Source organism: Homo sapiens, chromosome 12 (genome assembly GCF_000001405.40).
Source record: "Homo sapiens chromosome 12, GRCh38.p14 Primary Assembly".
NCBI classification, from domain to species: Eukaryota; Metazoa; Chordata; class Mammalia; order Primates; family Hominidae; genus Homo; species Homo sapiens.
In genome coordinates, this window is record NC_000012.12 from 14,489,988 (window position 1) to 14,509,826 (window position 19,839).

The following is a 19,839-nucleotide window of genomic DNA, read 5'->3' on the forward strand; positions in this document are numbered from 1 at the left end:
CAGGTAGCTAGCTGATCACCCCGAGGAATGGCATGCCCGAGCGAGGGCTCAGTGTTGGTCTCTTCTGCTGGCAAATTGGGTACTCGGCATTAGCCATAGTCACGTCAGCCTTGGTAAGTGGAAGTCCATGTTGCTGAGCCCAGGCATCACCTCCATTACTGCCACCATGGCTACTATGTTCATGAGCCCATTGGGCGATGACACGGGTGGCTGCGGATAGAGGCCGAATGGTGTCCACAGAACGGGTCATCCTATGGACTTGATTATTAATATCCTCCTCTGCTGAGGTTACCCATTGGTGAGCATTCACAGGGGATACAAATGCCTTCACAGTTTTTGACCACTTAAAGAGGTCCATGCCCAGAGCTCTTCCCCAAATTTCTTTGTCACCAATTTTGTAATGATGCTTCTTCCAAGTCCCTGACCATCCAACCAAACCATTGGCTACAGCTCATGAATCTATATAATCACACATCTAGCCATTTCTCTTTCTAAGCAAAGCACACAGCCTGATGCACTGCTCCAAGTTCTGCCCACTGAGAAGATGTTCCTTCACTGCTGTTCTTCAGGGATGTCCTAGAAAGGGACTGTAGTGCTGCAGCTGTGTACTTGCCGGTGGTGCCTGCATATGGTGCAGAACCATCTGTGAACCAGGACCTAGTCTTAATCTTCCACTGTCAAGTGATCACAGGGACTCCCCATGAGGCCATTGGTGCAGGCTGGGGAAGACAAGGCAGGGTGTCAGAGGGGAGACACGGGCATTTGAGCCACTCCTCATGTAAATTACTTCTGCCGTCCGCACCTGCTCGAACCCAATCACATATATACCACTTCCATTTGATTATGGAATGCTGCTGTGCATGACCCACTTTATGGCTAAGTGGGTCAGAAAGCACCCAGTTCATGATGGTCATCTCAGGTGACTTGATGACCCATAGTCAAATGTTCAGTTTCCACCAAAGCCCCTTTAACAGGCCAAGAGCTGTCTCTCAAAAGGAGAGTAGTTACCTGCAAAAGATGACAGGGCTTTGCTCCAAAGTCCTGGAGGCCTCCACCGTGATTCACCTATGGGGTCCTGCCAAAGGCTCTGACAGCATCCCTCTCTGCCCCTCACACCTCAAGCACCATTGAATCTGCTGGGTCCTATGGTCCAAGTGGCAGAACAGCTTGCCCAGTAGCACGGACCTGCTGCAGAGCCTTCTCCTGTTCTGGACCACACTCAAAACTGGCAGCCTTTCAGGTCACTTGATAAATGGGCTGGAGTAACACACCCACATGAGGAATGTGTTGCCTCCAACATCCAAATAGGTCCACTAGACGTTGTGCTTATTTCTTGGTTATAGAAAGGGCCAAAGGCAGCAACTAGTCTTTCACCTTAACAGGAATGTGTTGACAGGCCCCACATCACTGGACCCCTAGAAATTTTACTGAGGTAGAAGATCCCTGAATTTGGTCAGATTTATTTCCCATCCTCTGGCACACAAATCTCTCACCAATAAGTCCAGTGTTTTTGCTACTTCTTGCTCACTTGATCAATCAGAATAATGTCATCAACGTAATGGAGCAGTGTGGTATCTTGCAGGAGCAAAAAGTGATCAAGGTCTCTCTGAATAAGATTATGACACAAAGCTGGAGAGTTGATACACCCCTGAGGTAAGACAGTAAAGGTATGTTGCTGTCTTTGCCCACTGAAGGCAAATTGCTTCTGGTGGGCCTTATGGACAGAAATGGAGAAAAAGGATTTGTCAAGTCAATGGCTGCACACCAGGTACTAGGAGATGTGTTAATTTTCTCAAGGAGTGAAACCACATCTGGTACAGCAGCTGCAGTTAGAGTCACCACTTGATTAAGCTTACAGTAATCCACTGCCATTCTCCATGATCCATCTGTCTTCTGCATAGGCCACATGGGAGAATTGAATGGGGATGTGGTGGCAAGCACCGCCCCTGCATCTTTCACGTCCTTGATGGTGGCACTAATCTCAGTACCTCCAGGTATGGGATATAGTTTTTGATTTACTACTTTTTAGAGGCAGCTCTAATGGCTTCCATTTGACCTTTCCCACCATAGTAGCCCTCACCTTACCAGTCAAGGAGCCAATGTGGTGGTTCTGCCAGCTGCTAAGTATGTCGATGCCAATTATGCATTTTGGCACTGGGGAAATGACCACAGGATGAATCCAGGAATCCACTGGATCCACTGTAAGTCAGACCTGAGACAAAATTCCATTAATTATCTGACCTCCATAAGCCTGTACTTTAACTGGAGGACCACAATGATGCTTTGGGTCTCCTGGGATCAGTGTAAGCTCAGAACCAGTGTCCAGTAGTCCCTGAAATGTCTGATCGTTTCCTTTTCCGCAATGCACAGTTACCCTGGTAAAAGGCCAGAGATCTCCTTGGGGAAGGATGGGAGAAAGATTCACTGCATAAATTGTCAGGAATGTAGTGGGGTCTTTCCTCAAGGGGACGAGGCCTCCCCTTCATTCAAGGGGTTCTTGGTCTGTAAACTGGCTCAAGTCTGGAAATTGATTGAGGGGTCATCATTCTGTTTTTATTATTCAATTTAGTCTTTTGTCCATTTGACCTAGAAGCTTTCTGGTTGTATAAGTAGGAATGCAGTAGGCTTCCTATCAGTTTCATCTTTAGGAATATTGTGATTAATTAGCCAATGCCAGAGATCTATACAAGTCAGACTCTTCTGATTGCCACTTTGCCTCTGCTGTCCATTATGGTAGCTATGCCCACATTGCCTTTGACAGTTGAGTGCCACCACTTGGCCCCTGCCAACTTAGGATCCAGTTATTTCCATTGTATTTAAATTTTGTAGTTGAGTGACTGCAGTTCCCGCTGTTAGATCTGACATATAGAGTCGAGCAATTAGAGGGCTCTTCAGAGATTCAGGTGCTGCCCTCACAAATCTGTTTCGCAAGGCATTGGTCAAGGGTATATCTTCTGGACCCTCGCAGCTGGGATGACTAGCTCTAAAGTGACTGATTCACTCTACCATCCCAATCTCCTTAGTCTTTGGATCCCTTCCTCTACATTAACCAAGGGAGATAAATCATTTCCAGCTCTCTCACAGTGTGCCATCTTTTAATCCTTATTTCAACTAACCAAGCAAATAACCTACTAGAACCTTTTTTAACTCCCTGAGCTGCAACATTAAATGCAGAGTCCCTACTTAGTGGGCCCAAATCAAGAAATTCAGCCTGATCCAACTTTGTTCCTTCCACCATAATCTCATACCCTTAATATCCATCCCCATGCCTGTTCTTCAGATTTCTGTATATTTGAATTAAAGAACTCAAAACAGTTCTCTGAGTGTAGCATACCTCCTTATAGGTCACACCTTCAACCTCACCTCTAGGGGCCCACCAGTACTTTAGTGTAGTTATACATCTAGAAGCAAAGAGAGGTGTTTGGAGTGGCTCCTGAGAAGAATCAACATTGTCTTGCATGGCAACTGCCTCAGGGGAAGCCATCACTCTTGCCTCACATATCACAGGCTTTATTTCTTCAGACAAAGTTGGAAAGGCTGATGGCAGCATGGGTCAGGGAGTGGATGTTGCCACTACTGGGGATGGGGAAGCTGTTCTTTCTGGCAAAAAAGCTTCATCAGAATTTACAAACTCAGTGTCCCCAGCTTCATCAGGGTGCTTCTACACACCCCCATTCCAAGTTTCAGGGTCCCATTCTTTTCCAGTCAGTGCCCTCCCTTTAACAGTAGACACCTGGCAAGGCTGTGCATGTATCTTTCATTGCAGGTCAGACACTCGCATGATAAGAGCTTGTGTCTGTTTTTCCACAACTTCAGCGCTCTCTCTACAGGAGATAAGACTCTCATTCAGGGCAATCTTAGCAGTTTTGAGCCTCAGTATCTTCTTCTGAGGCTGAGAGACAGAATCCTTGAGTTCATCATTTTCTTTCATCACTTTTTCCACTGCACTTAGGAGCAACTGACCAGCTTCATTATGTTCCTTGGTTCTCCACATATGGTCCAAGGTATTATGTATAGAGTCACTAAACTCCTTGCTTCCCACAAGCAGTGAATCAGGAGTGTCAAATGCATTTATTTTGCATAACCCTCTAAACAGTTCACACCAGGGACTATCAGTGTTCTCTATACTATTAGAATTAGAGTTTTTAACATTTTTGGGTCTAATCACATTAAGCAGCCAACTCCAGAAACCCCAAAACCAATGAAAGAACTCCATCCTTAATATTCTGTTCCTCTGGACCCCATTCCTGGTACCAAAATCTGAATTAGGGTTCTCTAGGGGGACAGAGCTAATAGAATATATATATATATATATATATATATATATATATATATATATATATATATGTGTGTGTGTATATGTATATATACACATATGTTTCCTATATATAGTATTCATATAATATATACTATATATAAACTAATAGGATATATATATTTTATATATTATATATGTATTAAACTAATAGGGTATATACATAAAATATATACTACATATAAACTAATTGTATATATACTTTATATCCTACTATATATATACAGTATATCTTAATTATATATAAATATTAAATATATGTAAAATACTTTATATATAGTGAATGTTTATATATATAAAGGGGAGTTTATTAAGTATTAATTTACATAATCAGAAGTTCCCACAATAGACTGGGCATGGTAGCTCACGCCTGTAATCCCAGCAGTATGGGAGGCCAAGGCAGGCAGATCACTTGAGGTCAGGAGTTCGAGATGAGCCTGGCCAACATCGTGAAACCTCATCCCTACCAAAAATACAAAAATTGGCTGGGTGTGGTGGCACAAGCCTGTAATCTCACCTACTTGGGAGGCTGAGGCAGGAGAATCTCTTGAGCCCAGGAGGCGGAGGTTGCAGTGAGCCGAGATCATGCCACTGCACTCCAGCCTGGGCAACAGAGCCAGACTCTGTCTCAAAAAAAAAAAAAAAAAAAAAAAGATCCCACAGTAGGCTGTCTGCAAGCTGAGGAGCAAGGAAGCCAGTCTGAGTCCCAAAACTGAAGAACTTGGAGGCCAATGTTCCAGGGCAGGAAGCATCCAGCACAGGAAAAAGATGTAGGCTGGGAGGCTAAGGCTAAGCCTGTCTCTCCTTTTCACGTTTTTCTGCCTGCTTTATATTTTCTGGCAGCTGATTAGATTGTGCCCACCAGATGAAGGGTGGATCTGCCTTCCCCAGTCCACTGACTCAAATGTTAATCTCTTTTGGCAACATCCTCACAGGCCCACCCAGGGTTAATACTTTGTGTCCTTCAATCTAATCAAGTTGACACTCAGTATTAACCATCACACATATGTTGTAGTTTTGCAAAATGTGACAGCAAGGGAAAATATAGCTATTTAAAGAAACACAGTAATGCTATCATTTAGAAAATAAACTGATTGGAGTCCCTGGATCATAGCTTGGCTTCAACTCTCTCAAGTTTACAAGAGCGTTGTCTGGGAAAATTAATCAACAAGGTTAGAAATGAGTTCTGGGAAACTTGGCTCACTATAGTCCAGGAACCAGGCCGAACTACAGCATGGGCCAGGTACTGAATAAATGGCAGGAATATAGTTAGGGCAGTAGGTGGCTCTAAATTTTCTCTTTTTGTTTCCCTGGTGTATGTCACAGCAGTTTTCTGTGGGGTGAAGTGAGTATCCTCAACCAAGGAGCTGGGCATGGAGAAAATGAGAGGAACCTCATTAATACATGGCAAGGATGACTTATTCTGGCTTTCTGTCCTGGTTGAAAAGATGAGACTGCAGAGATTTTTATGAAGATACTCCCAGTTTGTCTGTCTTTTGAGTCACACTGCTCCATTATGGCCATTTACCTTTTACATGTGGTACACAACCAGTGTTCTAGGATTTTTGTTCATAGTTCTCCTGGTAACGATCCATTTATTTCTCCCTGTGCTGGACCTCCTGTTGCTTGTGTCTCGTGTTTTTCTCTTTATTTTCTCACGTACTGGTGGCACATATTCTCCATTGACTATTTGAGAAAGGGTTTGTGGTAGTTAGAATTTTTTTTTAGTGCTTGCATGTAAGAAAGTTTTTTTATCCACAGGCTGATTGATAGCTTGGCTGAATACGAACAGGACCTCTAGGTTAGAAATATCTTTCCTTTCGAATCTTGAAAACATTGCTTCACTGCCTTCAAATATTTAATCAGTTTTCCACCAAATTTACAATAGAATTATCATTTTATCCTGTAATTTTTTTGTTTGTTTGTAGGTGTTACAGTTCGAGTGCCTCAAACAACCACATATGTTGTAAACAATGGACTAACCCTGGGATCAACAGGACCTCAGCTCACAGTGCATCACCGACCACCACAAGTGCATACTGTAAGTGTTGATGCTTGGTTTTGCAAAATTCTCAACTGTAGAGGTATAAAATATTATTGTATTTGGCATTTTTCTTTAAAATGGTTATATCCAAGGGAAGTGTTAGGTCTTCCTGCTTTTTCAGAAGTTTATTTCTAAAAATTGATCTTACCATTATGAACACATAGTTCCTAGGGATGATGATCATTTAGAATCATTGAGTTTGCTTGTGGTGTACAGTGTACAAAAACAGGTCCACAGTTGGGGTATATGAAGTGAAATATAGACCATTTCTAATTCATAGTTAAATTAAAAAGGACATTTTTCATTTCTCCATGTGTTAATTTTATTCTTTCGTTCTAAACTATGCCACATCTAACTGCTACATTGTCATCAATTAATTGTTCTAAAGAATCCAATGATATTGGGAATTCATTAGTTAAGAGGTAACAGAGATAACCAAAGATTTCTCCTTAGATTTAGCCTCCAAAACAATGTCACATTATCCTGTGACACAATTTTGTCAGTGTTTGACTGGTATGAAATATCATTATAATGATGATGATGTTCCAGTGTTAGAAAAGTCAATAGGACTTCCTAAAGTTAGAGTCATGTTTTTTCATCATCTGGCCTTAACCTACCTTTCCAGATTTTTCTTCATGTACCCTATGTCCAAGAAAAAGTTAATACTTGTTCTTGTCCATACGTCCCCTCACTTTACTGTCCACATGCCTTTGCTCATGCTTTATTTTTGGCTGAAAGGTACATGATTATTTCTGCATCTCTGGATCCTCCTTCACAGTTGAGTTTAAATATCACCTTTTTCTTGTAAATTGGCCAAGAATATAGTACACATTTAGTGTTAATGTGCTTATTTATAAATAACTTAAAAATGAAAGTATATTTGTATTCTCCAATTTTATATGATCTTGGTTGCCATACATGATATTTAAAAATGTTACATCATACTGAAATGATAATCTGTAACATAGATAATTCAATCATAAATTATTTTGTTAGAAATAGATCATTACTTCCGTGTTCCTCAAAATGATGTTCCGTCAGCAGGGGCTTTTTATTTCCTAAGAAAAACTCAAAATATTTTAGGTCTAGGAAGTATAGTAGGAATAACCTCAGCATCATTGTTTGTAGCATGATTCATTACAAAACCCCAAATAGAACTTGCCAAATTTGATATGGTATTTGGTATTTCCTAGAATTCTTGATATAAAATGATACTTCTACGTATGTTCTCTAAGGTGTTTTAATTCTAACATTCTAAAATAGTTCTTTTTGCAATCATCATTAATCAGTGTGACCTGTTTCTTCAGGAGCCCCCACGCCCCGTGCACCCAGCACCCTTACCAGAAGCTCCACAACCACAGCGTCTGCCCCCAGAAGCTGCCAGCACATCTCTGCCTCAGAAGCCACACTTGAAGTTAGCACGCGTTCAGAGTCAAAATGGCATAGTACTGTCATGGAGTGTCCTGGAGGTGGATCGAAGCTGTGCCACTGTTGATAGCTACCATCTCTATGCTTACCATGAGGAACCCAGTGCCACTGTGCCCTCACAATGGAAAAAGATTGGGGAAGTCAAGGCACTTCCCTTGCCCATGGCATGTACTCTCACCCAGTTTGTATCTGGTAGCAAATACTACTTTGCAGTACGAGCCAAGGATATTTATGGACGTTTTGGGCCTTTCTGTGATCCTCAGTCAACAGATGTGATCTCTTCTACCCAGAGCAGTTAAACCTTGGAGCCTTTATATTTTCCTCTTTTAAAATTTCCACCTTTTGGTCTTGTTTTTAATCTTGTGCATGATACCCCATGTAAAATCCACCTTGTGCAAGATTTCTTGGACAGATGTGTGTATACACTACATTTGTTTATAACCAGAAGCAAAATAAACTCAGCCCACAAAGCTAGAATCTTTTCCTGGACAGTTTAGGCTTTGGGGTTTGGAAATGTAAATGTGTACCTTGCTTTAGTTTTGAGGCTGGGGAATATGTGTGGGTGTTTATGTGTGTTTTTCCTTATGTAGGTGTTATTGCATTGGAGTCTCCCATTTTCATTCTCAAATTTACCTCTTAAAGTACGAAGTAAGTAGATCAAAGGATTTGAGATGTGTAACTGGCATGATTCTGCTTTTGAAGGATCTATAGTATCATTTTAGTTAAGTGGGTCAAACAGAATCAAAACAAAACCCAAAGAAATAAATAAAAAACAAAATGGCTAAATAGTTTAAAATAGGTTAATTCGAACACAGGAAAGGATCTATTTGTTGTTTCTTTTGTCTGGTCTCCTGAGTTGTTAATTAGGTGAAAAAAGATCTGCAATGGCCCCCTCCCTTTCCTAATCTGGCTTTTACATTTATTTTGTGCCTTAAAGATTAACTACAAAGATAAACATGGCCAAAAATAAATAAATAAATATGGCCATATGTCCGTTGTTGCTTAGTCTTCCCTTGCAGCCTTTTACCCTTGATTTCTCCTTCATCTCTACCAAATATAGCACAACTCCTCAAGTAATTTTTTTTTTTTAAGATGGAGTTTTGCTCTTGTTGCCCAGGCTAGAGTGCGGTGGCACAATCTTGGCTCACTGCAACCTCTGCCTCCTGGGTTCAAGCAATTCTTCTGTCTCAGCCCCAGAGTAGCTGGGATTACAGGCACCTGTCACCATGCCCGGCTAATTTTTGTATTTTTAGTAGAGATGGGGTTTCACCATGTTGGCCAGGCTGGTCTTGAACTCCTGACCTCAGGTGATCCACCCGCCTCGGCCTCCCAGAGTGCTGCGATTACAGTTGTGAGCCACTGTATCCAGCCTACTCAAGTGATTTTTAAACCAAGGTGTGTGTATGTACATGGATGTGTATGTACACACACACACAGGTGCATGCATAGTCTCATCTTAGCCGGGCATGGTGGCGACAATCACATTTAACTCCAAAAATTTGACGTGCTATTTTCTTCTAAAACTATAGATGCTTTTATTTTTGGTCACTATTTAACTTTGTGTAAAGTGGACCAAGAGAAAACCATATTGTGGAAGACAGTTTTTCACACATTTTAGTATCCGTGTTGCACACTGTGTTAGAGATTATGAAAACCATTCTAGTTCAGTTTATCACCCAAAGCTATCACCCAACACTAACTCCTTAGTATTCTTTCAAAGGAAGCAAATAGTAAGATTACAATATAGAATGAGCTAAAATATCAAGGGGAAAGCTTCATTTCCTCTTTATTCTCTTTATCGTCCTTCCCATTTTAACCTTTTAACTTTGTTTTGATGGTGCCAAGTTGAGTCTGATGTACCCATTGTTAGCTTTGGATAGAATTTAAAGTATATCCCAGAATTAGCTGGGCATGTTGGTGCATGCCTGTAATCCCAGCTACTCAGGAGGCAAGGCTGGAGAATCGCTTGAACCCGGGAGGCGGAGGTTGCAGTGAGCTGAGATTGCGCCATTGCACTCCATCCTGGGAGACAAGAGCGAAACTCTGCCTCAAAAAAAAAAGAATTTAAAGTATATCCTTTGAGGTCATTTTATGTAACAATTAGATATAACCTCCTGTGTATCTCTCTGTTCCTCTTCAAAGTTATTAAAATTCAGCTTAGGTCATGGATTTTTAATATGAGGGCCAGCTGTACTGGTGTCAGGTAGGTGTTTTGGGTGTAGATAATTTAGGACTGGAGGGCTGAGTTAAGTTTTAGGAGGAGAATGTGGTTGAGAATATTTTGAAAGGAATTTATGGAGTTTGTGAAATAACTTCGAAGTCCTCTTCCTTTACAATATTTGAATTCATATTTGTACCTTCTCAAAATAGTGATTCATTTTTCCTAGAATTACAGGAGGGAGCTCTTTTACTAATGTTGTTTTGTTTGCAACTTTGATGGCTTATAATAGGAAGTATTCTAGTTGTAAAGAAAACTCTTTAGAGACTTTTGACTGGTCAGTATACTGAGGTGTGAGATTTGATTCATGATGAAGAAAGCCTATAGATTGCCAAAAAATTAATTCTCCAAACCACCTTTCACTCTCAGAAAATGAGACCACAAAGGAGTATGCTATAAATCAAATTTGCCAACCAATTATGTAGATATTACTCATTCTAGGACTAATGATGATGGTAAAGAAGTTGCCAGTGTTATGGCAATGAAAATTTCAGAAAGGAGGAGTTGATGATCTTCTAGATGTATATGAACACCTGTCTATATCTGCATGTATATGTTTTGACCTGCAGTGGTTGCAATGTTGATATGTGTTCAAGATTATTCCTGTCTACAAAACTGAAGGCCCATGTTCAAATTGTTCTTTATTGGGTGTTTTTATGGTCACGTGGTAACAATTTTCTTACCTAACCTACAAAAGGTTCTCTTGATGAACATTTTTATTTATATTTACTAATCTTTTTTAAAAAAAGCTTTCATAGCATTATATAATCAGATGAAGAAAGCCCAGTAGAATAAAAAAAAAATTCATTAGCCTAGCCTATATTATGTTTTCTGTCAAAGGAAAACAAATTCTCAAATAGGAATTCTAAAAATATTTACTAAAGTAAAATAACTACTTAAAATGTTTTATTCCAGTTGGAAGGAAGGTACAGGGAGAAATCGCAATTATTTAGGGGAGAAGTATATTTATTATAAGATGGTGTCCTCAAATTAGCCTACCATGGCACGTAGGGGCAGCAGCTATATTAGATTTACTAGAGGTGCTAAGTTAGAACACTAGGCTTTTATTGAGGCAGGTTTTAATATTGATAGATGCTTTTTGTTTGGTTTGTTTCTTCTGGGAGAGAATGGAGGACTTAAGTAGAAGTAGCTACTGATAACAGACTTTCTAGTAGCAGTTTCCACTCCACGGTTACCTTTTTAGTTTCATAGTATCTTTTCACAAAGTATTACAAATAAGCTAGATTCTCCCAGTTTGGGAATGCAAGTTTGCTACATTTTTAGCCTGGCAATATTTGTGTAGGTATTGCCTTATTGGAAATTCTGGAAACCTGATACTGCAACCTGCAATGTAGGATGTTTGTATGGCATTTAAAGGTAATGGTGATGTTTATTATTCTATACTTTGCATTCTGTGAGAGTAATTTTCACTCTGTCTTAAGTGTGAGTAAGCCTCTTCTAAAAATCTTGTTCTTGCCAAGAAATTTATAAATCACATACGAAGACGTCTGTTGCTAACAGTTAACTTTATGAGGTAACTATATCCTTCTATTTCTCTGGACTCATTTTTAAAAAATATGCCGAATACTGCATACTGTTTAAGGTAGTATATAAGTTTATGAGAGAAGTGGAGAGCTTTCTTCCTTGAAAAGTCGGTATTTGTTGAGATACCATTTGCCTCACAGAGAGGTGTTCCCCACTCCCATCCCCATTGCCAGATAATAAATATTTTGAGAAAAGTGACCTAAAACAGCTGAAATCTTAGGTGCATCTGTCTGCAGACCTCCTTAAGCAGGCTGTATCTTACAATTCCCTTACTGCACTGGGTAAGTGTTAACTTAGTTTTTGTTGTTTGCTCTTTTGCTTTAAATATTCTCCAAATTACCATTTATGCAACATGGTTAGGGTTAATACTGCATGGTATTCATTTATCTTGTTTCATGAACTTTCCAGTACTGTACAAGGTCAACAAAGTAATGCCTGTGGTATCCTCATCTCTCACTTTTTTACTCTGTGATTTTAGCACAGTAAGGTACTGCAAAGACCTTCCTTCCAAATGTTCTCCTTGACTTTATTTCTTGGGCCAATTCAGTATCCTCAACATCCTAAGATTTTGTTGTTTTATCACTGACCTGTGGTTGGCCTGTTTTATTCTAATTTCCAGAAAAGTCAAGTCCCAGTATTTGCAATATCAAATAACTCTAAAACCGATGTGTGATTCTACCTTCCTTACTATTTTTACTGGGCAAATGCCCTATTTTTTTAATTATTATTATTTTTAACTTTTGGGACACACAAAAATCAGCAATTCTCATGAAGCGTTTGTTAGTGTGGCAGACTTGTCTAATTCCTGAAACTCATTCATCCCCTTGAGCCAGCCAATGGGGAGGAATAGGATAATGCAAACACATGTTTTGTTTTCTCATTTTCAAATAATTTACCATGTTAAAATAAACTTTTCTTTGTTTTTTATTTGTAGAGTCAGCTAAGTACCCATATTTAAATGCCGTCTTTATTATTTTTTTGAGGTCTTTGTTTTTGTCTGTTTTTGTTTTGTTTTGTTTTGTAAATAAGGTAACTGGGCAATCAAACACCTTTTGGGGATTCTGGCTTTAGTATTTTATCAGCCATTTTAAAATTAAATATAAAAATCCTTTGTAAGAAACTTGCATCCTAATTTTTCTTTATTGCAATTGAAAGTGTAAATAATAAGACAATGTAAGTAAGACCTTCCTAATGTCTAATACAAACTGGGCTCCAGCAAGTGGCCCTATTTTTATTAGGGTTTTGAAGGTTTGTGTGTGTGTGTGCGTGCGTGTGTGTGTTTTTCTTTTTTAAATGTATAGTAGAGTGGTGTCTGTATAAGTGTTACCTGTAGTGGGGTTTTGTCCAGCAAGCCTGAAATTTATACTTTGAAATAAAACTACTGGGTTTTTAACATTCTGAGTACTCTGATTAATTCTGGTTATTCACCCTTGTGGCTTTTTTTCTTTCTTTCTTTTTTAAGAATCTTCCACCTTGTTTAGAATCACCCATTACATACTGTATGGTATGGCTTATTTAATCTACTTGGCAATTCCATGGCACTCAGATCACATGTAACTCTCCAGTTTCGAAAGAAAGTTGCTATGCAGGGTTGCTGCCAGATTGTATAGGTGCTTTTAGCTTATAGGAGGCAACAGTAAGCTTTACTGTATTGTATGCCTAACCTACATCACAAAAAGACTCAACTTATGCCTGTTAATGACCAGAAAAATCACTAACTACAATCACCAACTACTACTAGAGGTTCCTTTGAAAACGAAGCTCCAGCATCCCCTAGGGTTTTGTCATTAGGCATATTCATCCAGGGAAAGGGGAAAGAGCATAGGAGGAGTACAGATTCTTATGGGCGAGGCCTGGAAGTGGCACTCGTCTCAGGTTCCAATGGCTAGAATTGTCATGTGGCACAACTATCTGAGGGACACTGGGAGATGTGGTCTGTGTGAGCAGGCGTGAAAGGAGAACATGAATTCTGGTGAATGAAGGAGCTGTTTCTTCCATACCCTCTTGTGTATTAGCATGTATGCCGAAGCTTAGTGTTATTTATATATATATGTAACATTTCTTCTACAGTGCTCTACCTTATAGTGAGTGCTTACTGTAAAAACAACAAAGTCAGTGGGAAATGAAAGTGACAAATTAATATATTTTATTGCATAATTCTGATGGGAAAAACATAGCTAAAATAGTGCCTTTGGTATCTTATTTACAGTCTTCTAGTCCGTCATCTCCCTCCTTCATTTTATATCAAGTTTCAAAATTGGTTTCATGGTAATAAAATCAAAGTTGTAGACCTCTGGCATGCCCTGATGTAGAGTTTTGTTGAAACGGTCCCAGCGAAAAACAGGGAGGCCACCTTGTACTGTGGGACCACTTATGGCATAGGATGTGTACTGAGATGCTAGGTAGATATCTGCCACCTGGAAAGAGGGAGGAGGAGGACATTTTAGAAAATCATCGTTCAGCAAAAAATTAAATCCATGGCCTTCCCCACTCTCCCACTACCAAAGTCACAATATTAGCTTTTTTTTTGAGTCGGAGTTTCGCTCTTGTTGCCCAGACTGGAGTACAGTGGCACAATCTCAGCTCATTGCAACCTCTGCCTCCCAGGTTCAAGCAATTCTCCTGCCTCAGCCTCCCAAGTAGCTAGGATTACGTGGATGGGCCACCACACCCAGGTAATTTTTATATTTTTAGTAGAGATGGGGTTTTGCCTTGTTGGCCAAACTGGTCTCGAACTCCTGATCTCAGGTGATCCGCCCGCCTCAGCCTCCCAAAGTGCTGGGATTACAGGCATGAGCCACCGCGCCAGGCCGCCTTCTTTAAAACAAAATTTTCTTGCCATTTTTCACATTGTCTTTATATGATACAGTCTTCTGTATACATTTGGCTTAAATGTCAGTTGACTAGAAGTGTGTGAAATGAACAATGTAGCCAAAAGTGAGATATGAAGTCAGATTACTCATATTCAGAATTCTAGCTCCAAAGCTTATTTAAAAATCACTTAACCCCTCTATGAATCAGTGTTCTCCTTTGTAAAATGGGCTGATAACCCTACTTCATAGAGTTGGCATGAGGATTAATGCAAGCAATGCTCAAAGTAATGCCTAGAATAGATGAAGTTCTTAGAAAAAGTTGTTATTAATCAGGGTGGTAACAAGAGTCTGAAAGTAGATAGAGCTCACTGTCAAAAATTGAGGGCCGTGGTTCTCAAAAACACCTAACAACTGGCTAGCAGTGGGTCTTAATCTTAGAGGGGAAAGAGAATCTCTTCTTCTTTTCCCCATATTCAAAATGACTCTAAAGAGATAAATTACATTTTTAAAGAATATCCTTCAACAGAAACTTTCTGATAAGAACAATTGCAGGCCTCTGTCTCCAGAAGTGAGATTTGGTAGAGGGAAGCTTGGCTTGAGTTCTCCCAGGCAAGGCAGCAGAGGTGATTTTCTTTGTGTATTCTGTGATAGATACAAACTTCACACATTGACTGAATGTTTGCAAATGCCATTTTAAAAAAGGAATACAAAAACATTCATTGGGGTTTCATCTGTGCCAGCTTCTCTACGTCTACCTTTTTTTTTTTTTTTTTTAATGTTAACATTGAGAGTCATTACGGCTAAAGCTTTGCCTTCATCACATAGCTAAAAAGAAGGTTGAGCTGGAACTTAGGATACTTTAAAGCATTTCCTGTTTAGGTATTAGGCTGATAGAGAATCATGTGCAACTGGGGTCAGCATTCCTATAATTTTTTGAGCCAAAGACAGAATACACACTTTACCCTGACAGGTTTCTTCCAGAATTTAGGACAGCTGATGAAATGAAAAGACACACACCCAAGCCAAGAGTGCAAAAGGATGTAGTAGCATGATTCCACCAACCAAATGCCTCATACCCTCAGACGTCCCAAATCCAGTGGTGAGCAGGTAAATTTTTAACAACAATCTTTCTTTGTGAGGAAAAAAGTTCCTGATTTCCATAATGTAAATACTTTCACTGACTGGTTTGAAGCCATCAACACGTCAACTAACAATTGGTTCCTGCATGTCTATAAGCTGGCTTTAGCACACCACTGCAAACCTACTTATTACTTATATTTTCAGATACATTACAGCACTTATCAATTCTAACATTGTGAAAAACTGCTGTGCTTTAGGCATCTTGTCCAAACTTGCTCCTTCAGCTAAATTTGACTCATGTTTAACATGGAATCGCACTGCTTGAATAATATGTTCTTTGGACTTTGGGCCAGTCTGGTAAAACATAAGACAACAATAACATCATTATGGTTGTATACATTTACAAATAACTCACTAAGTGCTGTTGTAAACATTTTACAGAGATTAAAGCCTTATTCTTCAGAACAACATATGAGGTAAGTACTGTTATATCCATTTTACAGATGAGGAAACAGAAACATGACGGAATTATGTGATTTACTACTAAATGGCAGAGCAGGGACTTGAAGTTAGATAATAGGACCTACCACCAGAATCTCTGAAAAAGCTGATTCCTGGGTTGAGTTTATGGTTAGCGACATCGCTTCCTGCCATAAAAACCTGTGCAACTTTGCCTTTGGAGAGGCCTGTGTGCTGGTGGGAATTAAATTCAAAAGCCAATAGCATGTTACCTTTGTGTCATAACAACCTCCAGGACTTGGGTTAGGTGAGTTCAGGTCCTCACGGCAGCAGATGGTATTACAGGGGTCACCTCTACTGTAAGGATCCTTCTTATAATCTAGGAAACAGAAATGGGGAAGAGAGTGATTATTGGCTATTTGGAGACACACTTCTCCACAGTAAGGTTTTGAGGCCTGTTAAAGCCTAGATAATCAGAGAGTGTACTCCCACAGGCCTCCTCAGCCCAGTCTGCTTCCAGATAGAGACATCTCCCTTGGCTTGTGAGGAAGGAGTAAGTCCTTGGCCCCAGGCCCAGCCTGCCCTCAAGAACCTTACACAGTGAAAAATGGATGGGAAAGAGAACCAGATAAACGTCCATCAGCTGTTTCCAACAAAATAAATACAAATTTGACTTTGATGCTGTTCATACAAAAAAAATGAGGTATTTATGAACAATGTTTTGTTTTATTAGCTGCTGTTATCCTTGGAAGGAAACTTGTGTTTGGAGAAAAATTTTAAAGGACCCTCTATGAGTTATTTCTTCTGTGTTTTACAGATGATTTTTTTTTTTTCAATTAAAAAATGTATAGACTCTTCTCTTTCATTTTATAAAGGAGGCCAAAGCTCTATTTATTGAGTATAAAATGTACAATATTAGTTAAATACTTAAATAACTTCTTATAATTCCTTCTAGTACAGAGATGATAAACTTACATGGATTCTGTATCCATAGGGAAGAAAAGGAGTTTTGAAGAATGATTCTTGAGAAATATGCTACGTACTGTTGTATCGCATGATATATTTCATGGATGCCGTATCAGTCACTTTCCCTTGGTCACGCCGGAAAATTTTGGCTCGTGGAGCTAAATCATAAGAGTAGTCCAAGCCCAGCTTCTGAACTAACAGTGGATAGCCACTCCAGTTGTAGATTTTTTCATGGAAAGGAACATTGTAGGAGGGCCAATATCCTGATTTGGAATGGAAGGGAAGTAAGGGAGGGATTGACAGGGAAGGAGACAGAAAAGGAGAGAGAGCAAAAGAAATGTTATCCATGTTCATTTATTTTGAAAATGGGCACAGGCATTTAATTACAAAATAATGTACAGAAAATAAAGCTTTGCATGTGAACCCTGGCAGCCAAACAGCCTTTTAAATTTCCTAAATCAGCACAGCTCTAGGTTATTTCATTAGGGGAAGAAGAGCATCAGAATTCTCTGGTTTTCACCCAAAATTCTTAATCTCTAAGCCAAAAAACAACCATATTCTCTATAGAGCAAAATAAAGTATAATGCAAGGTGGTCTGGGGAGCTCATCTAAGTGGATTTAGTTACTGAAATGCCAAGAAATGGTTGTTCACAGTGTGGCCCTATAAAGGAAGATGTCAAATGGTAATCATGAAGTAGTGGAAGAACATAGCACTGGGAATAGAAAGCCTGAATTCTAGGCTCAGGGCTTAAGAATCAGGTCTTAGGCAGGCAACTTCATTTGTTTTGTTTCTGTTTCTTTTTTTTTGAAAGACGTCAATGGGGAGGGAGAGGAGAAGTCCATAATGTAAGGGGATTGGGGATGATCTTTTAGGTTACATTAGGCTTTTAATTCCTTTGACTCTAAACATTTATAAAGGCTCAGCTTCATTCAAAGCTTCATAGTGTGTGAAGGCCACATAGCCTACTAGTCACTGAGCACCAAATATGTGACACAGCTCTCTCTTGTAAAAGCAGAATTTCAGAAACATCCTGGATGACACTGGCCTGGGTTACTGCCTACAGAACAGTCAAGGAATGTCTCCACCATGCAGGGTTCTCTCCCACCTCCACATTCTCTCCTGGCCCTTTTCTGCCTTTCTCCTTTGTATTGTTGTACAGGACCTCCTCTTTAGGGGTGAGGTTACTGAGACAAAAAGAAAATGATAAGACATTCAGCCTTGCTAATTCTGAGACAGAGCCAGCATCAGAAGAACTGAGATATGGATGACATTGAAATTAAAGAAGAAAAACAGATTTGTTGCTAAAACATATCTAGGTTATATAGGCTCAGGAATTAGATTGCCTGGATTTGAAGCCTGGTTCTGCCATTATTAGGTATGTGACCTTGAACAAATTGCTTATCCCCTTTGTGCCTCAGTTTCTTCATCTTCATTAACTATTCAGCATTAAGCATCTTCATAAGCATGAGCATGAAATGCATTCAGATGGAGTGCTTACAATAGTATCTAATACTTGGTAAACATTAGATTATTATATTTCTCTTTGTGAAAACAGCTCAAATGAATAACGAAAATGTCTACTTTATACTTCACATTTCATGAAGCTTCGTGATTTAAAACAGAGCAACTTGGCCTGGTGCAGTGGCTTGTGCCTGTAATCCCAGCACTTTGGGAGGCTGAGGCAGGTGGATTGCTTGAGCTCTGAAGTTCAAGACCAGGCTGGGCAATATGGCAAGACCCTGCCTCCACTAAAAATATAAAAAAATAGCCAGGCATTGGGGTGCACACCTGTGGTCCCAGCTACTCGGGAGGCTGAGGCCCGAGAACCGCTTGAACCCGAGAGGCAAAGGTTGTAGTGAGCCGAGATCACGCAGCTGCAATCTAGCCTGGGTGACAAAGCGAGACCCTGTCTCAAAATAAATAAAGAAAATAGAGCAGCTTGTTTAATCTCACAAAAACCTGATGATGTATAAGTATTACCATCCCTTTTTTAAACAGAAGAAACAGAGTTTCAGAGAGGTCAATTGTCTTCCTTGGCTCACAAAACTTGACAGAATACAGGCCTTCTAACTAAAACATCCAGGGCTTCTATCACCATACCACAGTTGCTTAAATACGTTAGGAGATGTGCCCACCCCCGACCCCGACGCCCCCGCCTTTTTAATGGCTATATGATATCATGTATTTGTTTGGGCAAAACATGTTTCTTTCTGAGCTTTTCTTTACTCACAGTAAAATGGCAACAATAACACTTATGGGGTAGTATGTTACAAACATCAAACAAGAGAACATAAGTAAAAGGCCCAGAAGAGTGTCTAGAATGCAGTAGGTACTCTGAATTTAACTCTCTGTTCTTCTCTCCTCTGGCAAAGAAAAAAAAATACAGACAGATCATCATCAACTCTTTTTAGTCTTAGGGAGTTTCAAGGGGTCTAGGAATGGGACTGCAGAGAACCAAGTCTACCATTCTGTTATCAGCAACTGTCCAAAGAAGAAAAGACTACTTTAGCAAGCATCTCTCTCTCTTGAGGCATGCTATTATTTTCAGGCTCTTAGGAGCTGGGTTCTCTGTTTTGAATTGCTCTATGCTAAACAGTAACCACCTAATGATTTGACTTCTTGGATGGATTTTCCTAACAAGCAAAGAAGAAGGTAGGTCCACTGCTTGGTAGCATATGAACTGCTTGGCAATGAAACTCCCACCTTTTGTTTTATGCATAAGTCTTAGTGCATTTAGTTGGTGTGACCCATTCTCCACTGACAAGGCTCACTCTAGGCATCATTACAAAGTCAATTTGGGGACCTGGAAAACTGAGGACCAGGTCCTGATCCCTAGGGTCCACACTTTATCTCCGTTCTGTCCCTATTCATCTGCCAGTTGATCTATTGCAATAGTCTCCTAACTAGTCTCTTTTCTTCCCACCCAGTCTATTCTCCCTTGTCAGGAACTCCCAATTTCTAAAACATAAA

General features: G+C 39.8%; 2 protein-coding genes across 12 annotated transcripts in view, besides 1 other annotated feature; one reads left to right on the plus strand and one right to left on the minus strand.

Moving 5' to 3' along the window:
- The window catches only part of ATF7IP (activating transcription factor 7 interacting protein), a 137,249-nt gene extending 124,306 nt beyond the window's left edge, over window positions 1-12,943 (plus strand). For all 11 annotated transcript variants that reach the window (NR_170893.1, NM_018179.5, NM_001286514.2 and 8 more), the window contains 2 exons: window positions 6,244-6,356; window positions 7,667-12,943. Coding sequence is in view for 10 of the 11 variants with exons in the window: in NM_018179.5 (NP_060649.3) it covers window positions 6,244-6,356; window positions 7,667-8,086 (533 nt within the window). In the remaining variant the exon portion in view is untranslated. The remainder of the gene's footprint in view (window positions 1-6,243; window positions 6,357-7,666) is intronic.
- Window positions 12,944-13,673: 730 nt separating this feature from the next.
- The window catches only part of PLBD1 (phospholipase B domain containing 1), a 64,223-nt gene continuing 58,057 nt past the window's right edge, over window positions 13,674-19,839 (minus strand). Inside the window, exons 9-11 of the mRNA NM_024829.6 lie at window positions 16,946-17,131; window positions 16,175-16,281; window positions 13,674-13,967 (exon numbers count right to left, since the gene is read on the minus strand). Of these exons, the coding sequence (NP_079105.4) occupies window positions 13,785-13,967; window positions 16,175-16,281; window positions 16,946-17,131 (476 nt within the window). The 3' untranslated portion in view covers window positions 13,674-13,784. The remainder of the gene's footprint in view (window positions 13,968-16,174; window positions 16,282-16,945; window positions 17,132-19,839) is intronic.
- Window positions 15,495-16,694: an enhancer, noted in NCBI's record as "MED14-independent group 3 enhancer chr12:14658416-14659615 (GRCh37/hg19 assembly coordinates)". NCBI's record gives its function as "activates an origin of replication core promoter dependent on BRD2, BRD4, P300/CBP and CDK7 cofactors, and independent of MED14, by STARR-seq in HCT116 cells {active_cell/tissue: HCT116}" and the evidence as "EXISTENCE:reporter gene assay evidence [ECO:0000049][PMID:35650434]".